The following is a 12688-nucleotide window of genomic DNA, read 5'->3' as shown; positions in this document are numbered from 1 at the left end:
AACTTCTAGGTGCTCTCTTTTCTCGAACTCCTTGACCTCAAGTGATCCGCCAAAGTGCTGATATTACAGGCTTGAGCCACCGTGCCTGTGTGCTCCCTTTTCTTTTTTTTCTCTTTTTCTAAATTGAGAAATTGGACTCTTCGTTGTTTGCCTTTCCTTCTTATTCATTTCAACTGCAGTTCAAAATACTGCATAATGAATGAATATTGAGATAGCCCTTGCATTGGTTATGACATTTGCTTCCAAAATAAGAATTTTCACATTCTGATTGTATCACAGATTTTTATTTTTATCTGGGAAATTATTGAGGCTGACACTGCCTTGATTTGGCAGGAGCATGGAGTTCTCTTTGGCCCCAATAAAATTGCAATAGGGTTTGGGCCCAGCTCAGATGTTCCTTCTTTCAAATCACTTTTGAGGTCACATAGTAGAATAGAGCAATTTTGGTGACTGTAAGTTTGGGTGACTTCCCAAAGTTCCCGAAGTTGGGTGACTTCCCAACTTTGGTGACTGTGACCTCTAGGAAAATATAGACATTATGTGGCAATACAGTTTACAGGTACTGCATATATATAGTCTGTGTATGACACACACATGTACAACAAGTTTCATGAAAAAATACTTAGATCTACTATCTGCAATGCCCTCTGATATTTTCATTTAATGTTTTATTTTTCTAAAAATGGTCAAGACCCAGGGCATAAACTTTATGATCTGCTAGTTCATCATGACTCTTGAGGTCTGCAAAAAACAAAACAAAAAAAAACAACTGGCTTCAGAGCCATCTACCACTAACTAGCTGAGTTAACTTGGGCAAATAATTTACCAAGTAGCCAGGATTAAATCATATCCTCCTAGATGGCCTGGATGATCTATGAATAATTTTTTAAACTGGGGATGGGTATTTTGTTTTTGTTTTATGAAAGCAGTGTTCAGGGTCTACCTAAATGATCAATGAGGCAAACGGAATTTGCCTTTCTCTAAAGTTGCTGATGGGAATTGAGGGTATTTGCTCAGCTTGCTGCTCAGTGATTTGCGTATTAGTAATGTGAGGATTCGTGTTTTTGTTCATCTTTCCCACCTGTTTCTACCCTTCAGCCATTCATTTTCCCATACAATTGATCAACTACCCGGAGATTGAAAAACAGGCTGTGTTTAGAAAAAGAGAAATTTTATTACCTCAGAAAAATATGTAAAGCAAAACAGATGGTTAATGAGTGGGGGGTTAAGTCCTGAAACTCTGTGTGAATTTTTTTATTTGGACGAAATAGATGGAGAAGTGCTGAGATGGGAGAAGAGCAGTGGGGAGCCAGGGCTGAAGAGCTAGATACTATGGTCATCTTGAATACCACCACTTCCTATTCATGTAACATCTACTCTATTCATTTTTAGACATATAAATTCATCATTGCCAATGTGCTGTTTCTCAGAGTGTCTCTGATGGTTACTTGCATTACACTCGACTTGGGGTTAATGTTTAAAATACAGATTCCAGGGTTCTGCCTGGGATCCAAACTTGGGGGCAGGGTCTTGGAGGTCAACATTTTAACATTGTCCTCAGGTGAGTCATGTTCACATTTGAAGTTTTGAAAACTAGTGATTTAATATTTAAGGGAAAAAATGAGCCAAGAGTTCTTTGCAAGTACAGCTGTAATTCGCTTTCTTCCATCTAATTTGGCTGATTTATCAGTACCATCCTTCCTTCTGCCTCTGTCTACCCTGCTTGCCACTTTTGCTTCTAAAGCAGGAGAGATGATCCTCGTTTGTACTGATCTCAGGAGGACTGATTTCAAGATCTTATAAGTGGACCTGAAGAGATGTGAGCAAATTCCTGGTGAAGGAGCAATTTCCAGTAAATGTTCTTGATCTTCAAAAGCAGCATATACTAAAGAGACTCAAAACAAAAGACATGACAAACTGCTTTGTTTGCATCGAATATTTTAAAATGCATTTTATTATGTATAAAGACAATATCAAGATTTGTCTCCAGGTTCTATTTTTGATCATGTAGGGTTTTAAACCACTGCCCTATGCAATGCTCATTTCTCTTCCTCTGTTTCCATCCAACCCCTCACATTTGTTGCCCCTACCCTTGTCATAGACTCACATCCTATATGTGTCTCGTGTCAAACAGACTTCGTGGAAAGAATACTTTGTTCTAGTTACACAAAACAATGGTTTAAATGACAGGGGTAATTAACATGTATGGGTGACCAGAGAGTAGCAGCTGTCCTCATCTGACACTCACAATCAGATGCTTCTCTCGCTCACACTGTGTCTCTCTCCTTCCTGTCCTAAGCTGGGGAAGAGCTGGGCAGGTGAAGAGCTCTTGCCTTCAAAGGGCAGACCCCATGCCACAGGTACTTTAAAACAAAGATGAGACCTCCAACAATTTCCCCCACCCACAATAAGTTCATAAATCCAGACATAAGTAGTTATGGCCTGGATAAATGCTGTGGGAGTTGGGGAACACTCTGTGGTAAATATTTTAAATCTAGGGAATCTCAATAAATCAACAAAATGCCACTAAAGATAAAGTTTACAATTGAGAGATACTCTTTCAGGGGATCCTAGAAAATATTTCTTGATTTAATATCCTAGAACTAATAACATAAGTGAGTGTCACACAAATGAAATAGTCACCTTGTGAATCATTTCCTTTGGTAACCACACTTAAGGTGAACTGGATCAAGAACCCATTTAACCCATTTATTTTTGTAGGCTCATCATAAAAGAATGAGAATTTTTCTTTTCCCCACCATTTCCTTGAAAGGACAGCAAGACCTTTCTGCTCTGAGAGAGATATGTTCCAAACAGAAATTAATAAATAAAAATTTCAGATACCGAAAAGTCCTATACAAGAAAAAAGAAGACAAGTCAGAGCAATATGGTATAGTGCACAGGTGTGAGGTTCCTTTAGTTATGGTGGTCAGGAAATGTGTAAGAGGTGATATCTGAGAAATGAATCATGAAGATAACCATGGAAAGATCTGCCAAAAGAGCATATTTGGCCATGGGAAGAGACAGGTACAAAGACTATACGGGTGGAACAAGCTTGGCAAGTTCCAAGGATGAAAAGAAGAGAATTGTGGGTAGAGAGTGAGGAAGAGGGATGGGAGGGTCAAATCATATCATGAAGAGCCTTGAGGACTAGGGGAGAGGTTGCATTCTACTTGCAATGAAAAGCCACCAGATGGCTTAGAGCAGGGTAGTTGCCTGATGAATGTTCTAAAAATACCACTCTAGCTGTGGTACGAAGAATGGAATATGGAGGGGACTTACATTCATGGAGGCTGGAAAATCTTTAGGAGCTGTTTCTGTAGAGCATGTTCAAAATATAATTTGGAAGTAGAACCAGTAGGACTTATTGAGGGATATTAGTGGTAATGGATAAAAGGAAATCAAGGAAGATACATACTCACACACACATATATTTGTATATATTTATATACATTACATATATATTTGTATTTATATACATTAAATATATATTTGTATGTATTTAATATGCTTTTCCAGAGTAGGATACTATAGCCAGTTTCAATATTATGTGCATTCTCTAAATTAAGGAAGTCTAAAAACAAAACAGAAACTTTCCTGGTAAGTGAACTACTGGAAACCAGTCTAAACCAATCAAGAAAATCATGATTTCTAAAGAAAAAATTACAGTCTTTTCTGGAAATGGAGAAATTGGTGGCAGTATGTTGACAGTATTTCAAAGCCATGCTCCTGAGGCTTGCTATTAACCAGGCTCCAGTTATTTTGGAGAAATTCACAAGAAGGGCTGTGGGTTAAGTTTAGAGCATTTTTTTAAAACAATTCTTATGTTTTTTTTTTATGATTCTAAACATTGGAATATTTGAAACATTTAATGTTTGAACATTATTAAGATACAATATTTAGATATTTGACGTTTTCTACTTCGTGTAAGGGGGTTTGGCATCTTTTAGAAGAGAGACTCGAAGGTAAGTACAAATATTCTGAATAGTGCAGTATATCATTAAACACAATATCAGAATTTCATTATTCAACACTTATTCCATGGATTAGAGAATTCTTTTTTTTTATTATACTTTAAGTTCTAGGGTGCATGTGCACAACGTACAGGTTTGTTACATATGTATACATGTGCCATGTTGGTGTGCTGCACCCATTAACTCGTCATTTACATTAGGTATATCTCCTAATGCTTTCCCTCCCCCCTCCCCCAACCCCACGACAGGTTCCAGTGTGTGATGTTCCCCACCATGTGTCCAAGTGTTCTCATTATTCAATTCCCACCTATGAGTGAGAACACGCGGTGTTTGGTTTTTTGTTTTTGCAATAGTTTGCTGAGAATGATGGTTTCCAGCTTCATCCATGTCCTTACAAAGAACATGAACTCATCCTTTTTTATGGCTGCATAGTATTCCATGGTGTATATGTGCCATATTTCCTTAATCTATCTACTCATCTGACAAAGGGCTAATATCCAGAATCTACAAAGAACTCAAACAAATTTACAAGAGAAAAACAATCCCATCACAAAGTGGGCGAAGGATATGAACAGACATTTCTCAAAAGAGGACATTTATGTAGCCAACAGACACATGAAAAAATGCTCATCATCACTGGCCATCAGACAAATGCAAATCAAAACCACAATGAGATACCATCTCACACCAGTTAGAATGGCGATCATTAAAAAGTCAGGAAACAACAGGTGCTGGAGAGGATGTGGAGAAATAGGAACACTTTTACACTGTTGGTGGGACTGTAAACTAGTTCAAGCATTGTGGAAGACAGTGTGGTAATTCCTCAAGGATCTAGAACTAGAAATACCATTTGACCCAGCGATCTCATTACTGGGTATATACCCAAAGGATTATAAATCATGCTACTATAAAGACACATGCACACGTATGTTTGTTGCGGCACTATTCACAATAGCAAAGACTTGGAACCAACCCAAATGCCCATCAATGATAGACTGGATTAGAGCATTCTTTTGACTAAGTACAAAGAAGGAAAGCCTCGGAGGCTGAGAAATGCCATCAGGTGGGCATCAGCACTTAGGTGAGTGTGTGAACTCTGGAGATGAACTGGATAGGCCACCCTCCAAGCACCTCCACGTTCAGCACCTCCAGAACCTCTCCAAATCCCCTCATTTAGGGATTTTTATGGGGACTTCATCATGTACACATCAGCAATTGTTACCTCAATCTTCAGCCCCTCTCCCCTTTTCACAGGATGAGGTAGGAGGTGAAAGTTCCAAGCTTCTAATCATGGCTTGGTCATTCTTGTGACCAGCTCCCATCCAGAAGCCCACCAAGTTACTTCAGGAGAATGAAAGATGCTCCTATCACTATGGAAATTCCAAGGGATCAGGAGCTCTGTGTCAAGAACTGGAGTCGAAGGTCACATAGAACAAAAAATTTACCTAGCATACCTATCACTCAGGAAGTTACAAGTCTTTTAGGAGCTGTGTGCTGGAAAATGGGGAAAGAAATTAATGTATATTTATTTATTATAATACCACATGTAATAAGGTAGATCATTTTACTCATCAGAGTTCAGGAACTGTTCTCTGTTATTTTTATACACATTCAGAGTAGGAGACCAAGTTGAATTTCACAGGATTGCAGGAGGCTGAGATTCACAGGCTGAGAATAGGATCATGTGAGTTGCATGGGTTTCAAGAGAAGGAAGTTAACAGGGGCTTAGTATAGTGCTGTAGTGACCTCGCAGTTGAGGAGGATAGATATAAGGTGCTACTGTCAGTGGGAAAAAATAGGAAAGAGAGAAATATCTAGAGAAGATTTTAGGAGTTTCTTGTTCAATATGCTGTGTGAAGCATTTGCGGGGACTCCTTCAGAAAGCATAAGGTGAAGACCCTCATTATTCTTCATGCTTCACAGTTTACGTTTTCATTCAGTTTATGTTTTCTTAGAATGCTATTACATGCATGGACTGAGCCATGTGAAGCCTCAGTTTTATTCAGGTTACACTCTGAAATATAATCATTTTCAGCTCAAAAAACCTTCCTTGACTTTATTACCCCTTACATTTTTATCTTCTCCAATTACTCCTTTTCATAACAAACATCAATAAACTGTATCATTACCTTTTAAAGCTATCAAATTAACAAAACAAAACACAATAATTATAATAAAGATTAAAATAGCAGCAATGGTAAAACATATACCATTTAAAAAATGTCAGACCCTATTTTTGTGATTTACACATATTAGCTCATTTAAATCTTACAACAATCCTGTAAGGAAGGTACTATTATTGCCTCTATTTTAGAGATGTGGACACTGAGGCACAGAGCTTTAGTAACTTGTCTAAACGACACAGCTAGGAGATAGCACAGCTGGGATTCGAACCCAGACATCTGGTTCCAGTGTTTATGCTCTTAACTATTGTGCAAAGGTATAGTGAAATCAGCATCCTTATTCACTGCTGGCATGGTGTATTTGTTCAACTCCAAAAAGTTAAATGCAGAGTTACCATATGACCCAGCAATTCTGCTTTTACATATATACCCAAGAGAATTGAAAACATACGTTCATACAAAAACTTAGCAGCATTATTTATGACAGCAAAAAAAATGGGAACAATCCAAATGCCCCACAATTTTGAATGGATAAACAAAATGTGGTATATCCATACATTGGAACATTAATCAGACATAAAAAGAAATGAAGTACTGGTACATGCTACAACTTGGATGAACCTTGATCATACTAAGTAAAAGGAGCCAGACACAAAAGGCCATAGATTGTAGGCTTCCATTTATATAAAATGTCCAGAATAGGCAAATCTATAAAAACAAAAAGTAGGTTAGGGGTCCCCAGAAACTGGGGGAATGGGGAGAATGGGGAGTTTGGGGAGTGGCTGCTAATAGGTATGAGGTTTCTTTCTAGGGTGAAGAAAATGTTATGGAATTAGATAATGGTGGTGGTTGTACAACTTTTTGAATGTATGAAAAACCAATAAATTGTACAATTTAAGGTGGTACATTTTATGGTTGTGAATTACATATCTTAATCTTAAAAATCTCTAGGTAGGGAGAGAACAGGATCTGAGTCCACTGATGCCATTATATTACACTGCCACATGGTGTCACCGTTGAGGAATGGATGAAGTCCAAAGAAGGCTTACACAAAGCTTGTGTCCAGGTCATGCCCAAGCTACAGAGGTGCCCCAGGATTGGAGTGAAGGTTAAAATCCAGAATTTGGGGAGCACCATCCCAGAATGGTTTAATATTAAGGAGGTTCTAGCCTCAGCCCCACACTGTGCAACTATTTGCAGTCCTTCACAGACCGAAGTTCTTGGCTAAACCTGGTTCCCAGCTCAATGGGGAAATTCAAATCCTTGTGAAAGCATCTCTGTTAAAAGGAGACACTGCTAGGCACATCTTAAACTTCCAAACACTTTATTTTTTGAAAAACTGCTTCTTTATGGAGGTCCAAGGAAATATTGGGCAATTTTTACTGTCCTGGGATAGGGAGCATCAAATGAGTTGAGGATTTTACATCAATTTTCTCTAAAATATTTATACTACTTAACTCAGTGTATACATATGCATGTGCATATATATATGTGTTTATATATATACACACGTATATATACACACATGTATATACGTGTGTATATACACACATGTATATACGTGTGTATATACACACGTATATACGTGTGTATATACACACATGTATATACACACATGTATATACGTGTGTATATACACACGTATATACGTGTATATATACACACATGTATATACGTGTATATATACACATATGTATATATGCGTATACACACATGTATGTATATATACACATACATACGTACATATACATATACATACATATGTATATATACACATATGTATATATATATGTATACACACATATGTATATATACATATATATACTGAGAAATATCCAGCAATGGAAGTTGTTACATACACACTTATTGAAAATCCTTTAGCTGTTAAAAATGGTAAATATAAATGCAATGTAGCAACATAAAAATCCTTATGTTATAATGCAAGATGATATAAAACACATATTTATATATATGCATAAAAATGTACACATATATATTCACAAATTCATACAACTGAAAATAATTCACATACCAGTTAAAGTTATATGCCATTTGATTCTGAAATAAATTTCCTTTAACCCTCTTACTCCACATTTTATAAAATGTGTCCAATATCTATACCAAGACTTTTTTTTTCAATTTCCTGGGCATATTTTTCTATGGTCACTTTTTTCACTTATGTTTTAAAATTATGAAAAACATCATACATACAAGAAAATTTATAATGTGTGTTTTCGGTTTAACATGTATCCATCAGGAATCAGAATTTTACTCAGTTGGTTTGATTAAAGAGATATTAGTGAAGACACTACTTAAAGGAGTATGACTAAGAGAACCATCCAGTTGAGTCATCCAGAGTCTAGCAACAGCAGGAAGACTGCGCTCTCTCTAGGCTACATAGCAAAGGAGAAAAGTGTTTCCAGAGCCCATGGAGCTGGAGCCATGGAGAAGGGACTGCTTGCCAAGAGCTGCAATTGTGGAGAAACACAACCACCACCAGATACTCAGCCCCAAACAGAGAAAGAACAGAGAAAATATACCCTGATGTCTTTTTCCTCCTGCCTCCCATCTCCCTGAATGCCTCCCGCTGTCCAAACTCAAATGGAAACCAGCTGAGGAGAGCCCAGGTGGTGCCGTCCAAAGAGGTCAGCTTTGGGGTATAGAACAGGGCAGGGAAGTGAGGAGAATGAATATGATGGAAGGCAAACAGAAAACCTAGACAGTCTAATTGTTTTGTCACCCAGAATTTATTCTTTTCCTTTGCTCAGATGAAGAGCAGCTCATCCCTTACATATGAGAATGACAGAGTCTGACAAGATTTCTCCTCGACCAAACTTTAGTCAGGCTCCTCTAAGCCATCTCCTTGATTAGATATTGACCTTGGGCTGCAGTGTTCATCCTTGCAGAATCAGTGTTGGCAAGAATCCTGCTAAGTCAGTTTAGAGAGGATCTTCCCACCCTGAATGTTTGACCACTCTCAATATCTGATCAAATTCCTTACCCCCACCAGCCCCCAGGTGATGTCTGCTTACCCTGGCCTACCTTTAGCAAGAATCCTGTTAGGTCAGTTTAGCAAGGATTTCCCCTACCCTTGCTGTCTCTTCTTAGTAATTTTCCATCCACGGACCCCACCCCCATCCACACAACCTGCTCCTCGGCTATAAATCCCCACTTATCCTTACTGTATTCAGAATTGAGCCCAGTTCTTTACCAAGGTCTCTTTCCCCCTATTTCAAAAGTTGCTGAATAAAAATCTATTTTTACTGCTACAGCTATTGTCCAGCTTTGATTTTCCTTAACAAGCCTCATCAGCTGCCATATTGCCTTGAGGGGATGTCAGTTCAGGCACATTCTCACCCAGAAACTAAATTGTAATATTTATCTCCACCACTACTCTTTATGCAGGGTAATAGGAAAAGAGAGTCAGGGAAGAAGTAATTAACATTTTAAATGGAGAGCTACTATAATTCCTGCCTCTAGAGCTTGTTGCAAGGCTAAAATTAATAATCATAGCTTCCTACTCATTTACTTATGTATGTTTCCCCTGCCCTATGCCAACACCTAGGTAGATCAGGATTTTTTTATCTGGTATGCTTCAACACTTTAATTTCTTCATGATCTGAAATTTCTGCATTACTTCAGTTATCTGATAATCATTATTATGGCACACGGCAGTATTAAGAAGTGCCCAGTGAATCTCCAGGTGTCATGCATAGTTCTTCTTGCCCTCAATATATAGATGTAACCCAATTTCCTTTTGGTATTTGGGATGAATCATACCATTCTGTCACTGTGAGGAATCAAAGTGACCAGAGGGCAGTTTCAGCTTTCGAATCAATGAATTGAAATTCAATTCAATTCAGTGACGGGGTCTTCTAGTGGCAGCATTCCTTCCTTTGGATCTAGGCTTCCAAACACAATAAACCCAAGGTTGTAGAAATGGTGTGCTGGAATACTATGCAGCCATAAAAAATGATGAGTTCATGTCCTTTGTAGGGACGTGGATGAAGCTGGAAACCATCATTCTCAGCAAACTATCGCAAGGACAAAAAACCAAACACCGCATGTTCTCACTCATAGGTGGGAATTGAACAATGAGAACACTTGGACACAGGAAGGGGGACATCACACACCGGGGCCTGTTGTGGGGTGGGGGGAGGGGGGAGGGATAGCATTAGGAGATACACCTAATGTAAATGACAACTTAATGGGTGCAACACACCAACACGGCACATGTATACATAGGTAACAAACCTGCACGTTGTGCACATGTACCCTAGAGCTTAAAGTGTAAAAACAAACAAAAAAAAGAAATGGTGTGCTGGATATTTTCTATTTCTCCCTCCAGGCATTGTGCCTAGTAGGCTGACCTCTACAGACTACACAGACCTAGCTCCACTGTCTTCTGGCTTCCTGGTGGATCCAGCCAGCGGAAGACCCCAGCTGGATATCAGAGCTGGGAGAACAGAGAGGTGGGTCTTCTCCACTCTGTCCCTGCTTTGGGCTGACGTCTCAGCACTGGCTACAACTATAGAATCTCACCTTACTTGGTGAAAAGTTGGCATTGCTTGCTTTCCTCTACTGAACGACACGGTTCCAGTTGGTTACTCTCTCGTACAGCCACAGCTACCGCTCTCGCTCTCGCCTGGTTTTAGTAACTGCTTCCTTCCCCCACCCCTCAGCCCTATAGTTACTAACAGCTCCCCGCTGTTACTGGTTACTACTGGTTACGGAAGGCGAACTATGTGCCCGACACTGTGCTAAATGCCCACATATATTATCTTTTAGTCCTCACAATCCAATAAATTAGATGGCTTTAGTCCTGTTGCAGAGGTGATAAATTCAGAGTGACAGTGACAGAGCTAGAAATTGAAGGTAGGTGTGTTTATGCTAGAGTCTGTGCACTCAAACACGATTCCTTACTTCTTGCATCAGTTGTTAACCTCCCTTCAAGAGTGTCAAACCTCCTGGTAACCCGCCCATTCCCTTAACTGGAAATGAGGGTGCTGTTGCAATTTTCTCATCCAGCCATTCCACAAATGGTATCTGGAATGTGGGACCCACAGTCCAGAATCCTGAGGGCTGCTGTTGAGAGCATCAAGACGCGCCCAGGAGGTCAGGGCGGTGTGCACTCACACGCTGAGCCTGGAGAAAGTTAGACGCCTTCTCCACCGCTGTGGTGGTTAGCAGGGACTTTCCTGAAGGCCAGAGACTGGTGACGTTCATGCTATTTTTCCAAGCCATTTGGTAGCAAAGAACAGAGTGCCAACAATTCAAGCATTCTCTCAGGCTGGGAGAGAGACGTGGCTTATTCAAGATAGAAATTGCTGGTGAGGTTGAGGCGAGACCGACATCTCTCTGAGCAGCAGGGGAGAAAGACGGCTCTGTTCAAAAAAGAATGGGTAATTTCAGTCAATTCTCTTCTTTCTCGTTTCTGTCTTATCTTTATGACTTTTTAATAGTGCCAATTTAACAGATGAGGGGACAGAGGCCTTTAATTGAGAATTCCACTCCGCTTCCTCTGCCTCATCTCAAAAATCTGGCAGCTGAGTCGCCGCGGCTTTGAATTTGCCTCTTTTGACCTTCCCCTCCCACCTCTGGTAACACTGAGCCTGGCCCGGAAGGACACACCCGGCTTCTGGCGGAAGTGCCGGCTCTTTAAAGAAGCTGAGGGCTGCGCGAATTGGCTGAGGTGCGTCATCTACTGTGTCTGGGCGCCAATCCCGACGCTGGGCGGAGCGAGGCCCGGTCCCTGCAGCGGGCGAAAGGAGCCCGGGCCTGGAGGTTTGCGTACCGGTCGCCTGGTCCCGGCACCAGCGCCGCCCAGTGAGTGAACACCGGCCGCAGGCGGGTGGGGAGAAGGGTCAGCCCGGCCATGTCAGTCAGCGCGATCTCCTGGGCTCCGGGCTTGCCAGGCAGCGCTGGGCGCCCGCTCCTCGTGAGCGCCGGCTCTTGGCTCTCGCACTGCCCCTGGTGCTGATAGGTATTGCCAACTTCGTTCCATTAGAGCGCGTTCTTGTCGCCTGGCGTGGACTCCGGATCTCTCCGTAGCTTTAAAATAGAGTTGAGAAAAACAGGCACAGTGCTCTCAACAGAAATCAGCACACTATTGCGGGGAATACCTAAATTACAGTAACTGGCCTCAGGGAGCAAGGGCGGTGTTAATTACAGAAAACCTCCGGAAGCTGTGGGCTCTGGGCTGGAATTTGCAAGGGGATGTGGCTTAATTTCAATGGGATGCAAATATTGAAAATGACTGTGGTGAGACGATCAGTCATACATTCAGGCAATGTGTCATCTGATCGGGAAATAAGTCAGCGTGGTAATCCCGATGACAGAATTCATGCAATTAATTTTTTATGTCCCCCCAAGTAAAATCAAATCTAGGTACTCACGGGTGACCGGAAGAAAGGTTGTCTGGAACTTGCAGGCACCACTTCTCCTCCCCAGAAATACACCTTCCCATAGTAATCTATAGCTCACCTGAGGCAGGGCTGAAGCATTAAAGACCCCTTCCAAGATCTCAGAAGGAATCAAAGGGAAAATGAAGACAGAGGGATTGAAATCAGCATTCTCTGCAAAACATCACTC

The 12688-nt window shown here is 40.6% G+C and overlaps 1 protein-coding gene across 3 annotated transcripts in view, besides 3 other annotated features; it reads left to right on the top strand.

The window, feature by feature from the left end:
• Positions 10421-10580: an enhancer, noted in NCBI's record as "active region_28159". NCBI's record gives its function as "activates an Ori minimal core promoter by ATAC-STARR-seq in GM12878 lymphoblastoid cells {active_cell/tissue: GM12878}" and the evidence as "EXISTENCE:reporter gene assay evidence [ECO:0000049][PMID:35858748]".
• Positions 11286-12485: an enhancer, noted in NCBI's record as "P300/CBP strongly-dependent group 1 enhancer chr9:5437227-5438426 (GRCh37/hg19 assembly coordinates)". NCBI's record gives its function as "activates an origin of replication core promoter dependent on BRD2, BRD4, P300/CBP, MED14 and CDK7 cofactors, with strong dependence on P300/CBP, by STARR-seq in HCT116 cells {active_cell/tissue: HCT116}" and the evidence as "EXISTENCE:reporter gene assay evidence [ECO:0000049][PMID:35650434]".
• The window catches only part of PLGRKT (plasminogen receptor with a C-terminal lysine), an 80407-nt gene continuing 79053 nt past the window's right edge, over positions 11335-12688 (top strand). Inside the window, exon 1 of one of the 3 annotated variants that reach the window (XM_005251510.6) lies at positions 11335-11499. The gene's annotated coding sequence lies outside the window, so the exon portion shown is untranslated. Of the gene's footprint in view, positions 11500-11786; positions 12081-12688 lie in introns of those variants that run through there. The other 2 variants (NM_018465.4, XM_011517960.3) reach the window with 2 other exon arrangements.
• Positions 12141-12230: an enhancer, noted in NCBI's record as "active region_28158". NCBI's record gives its function as "activates an Ori minimal core promoter by ATAC-STARR-seq in GM12878 lymphoblastoid cells {active_cell/tissue: GM12878}" and the evidence as "EXISTENCE:reporter gene assay evidence [ECO:0000049][PMID:35858748]".

The sequence above is a fragment of the Homo sapiens genome, chromosome 9, assembly GCF_000001405.40.
Source record: "Homo sapiens chromosome 9, GRCh38.p14 Primary Assembly".
Classification (NCBI taxonomy): domain Eukaryota; kingdom Metazoa; phylum Chordata; class Mammalia; order Primates; family Hominidae; genus Homo; species Homo sapiens.
Note: the sequence above shows the minus strand (reverse complement) of the source record. Positions and strands in the feature narration are given on the sequence as shown.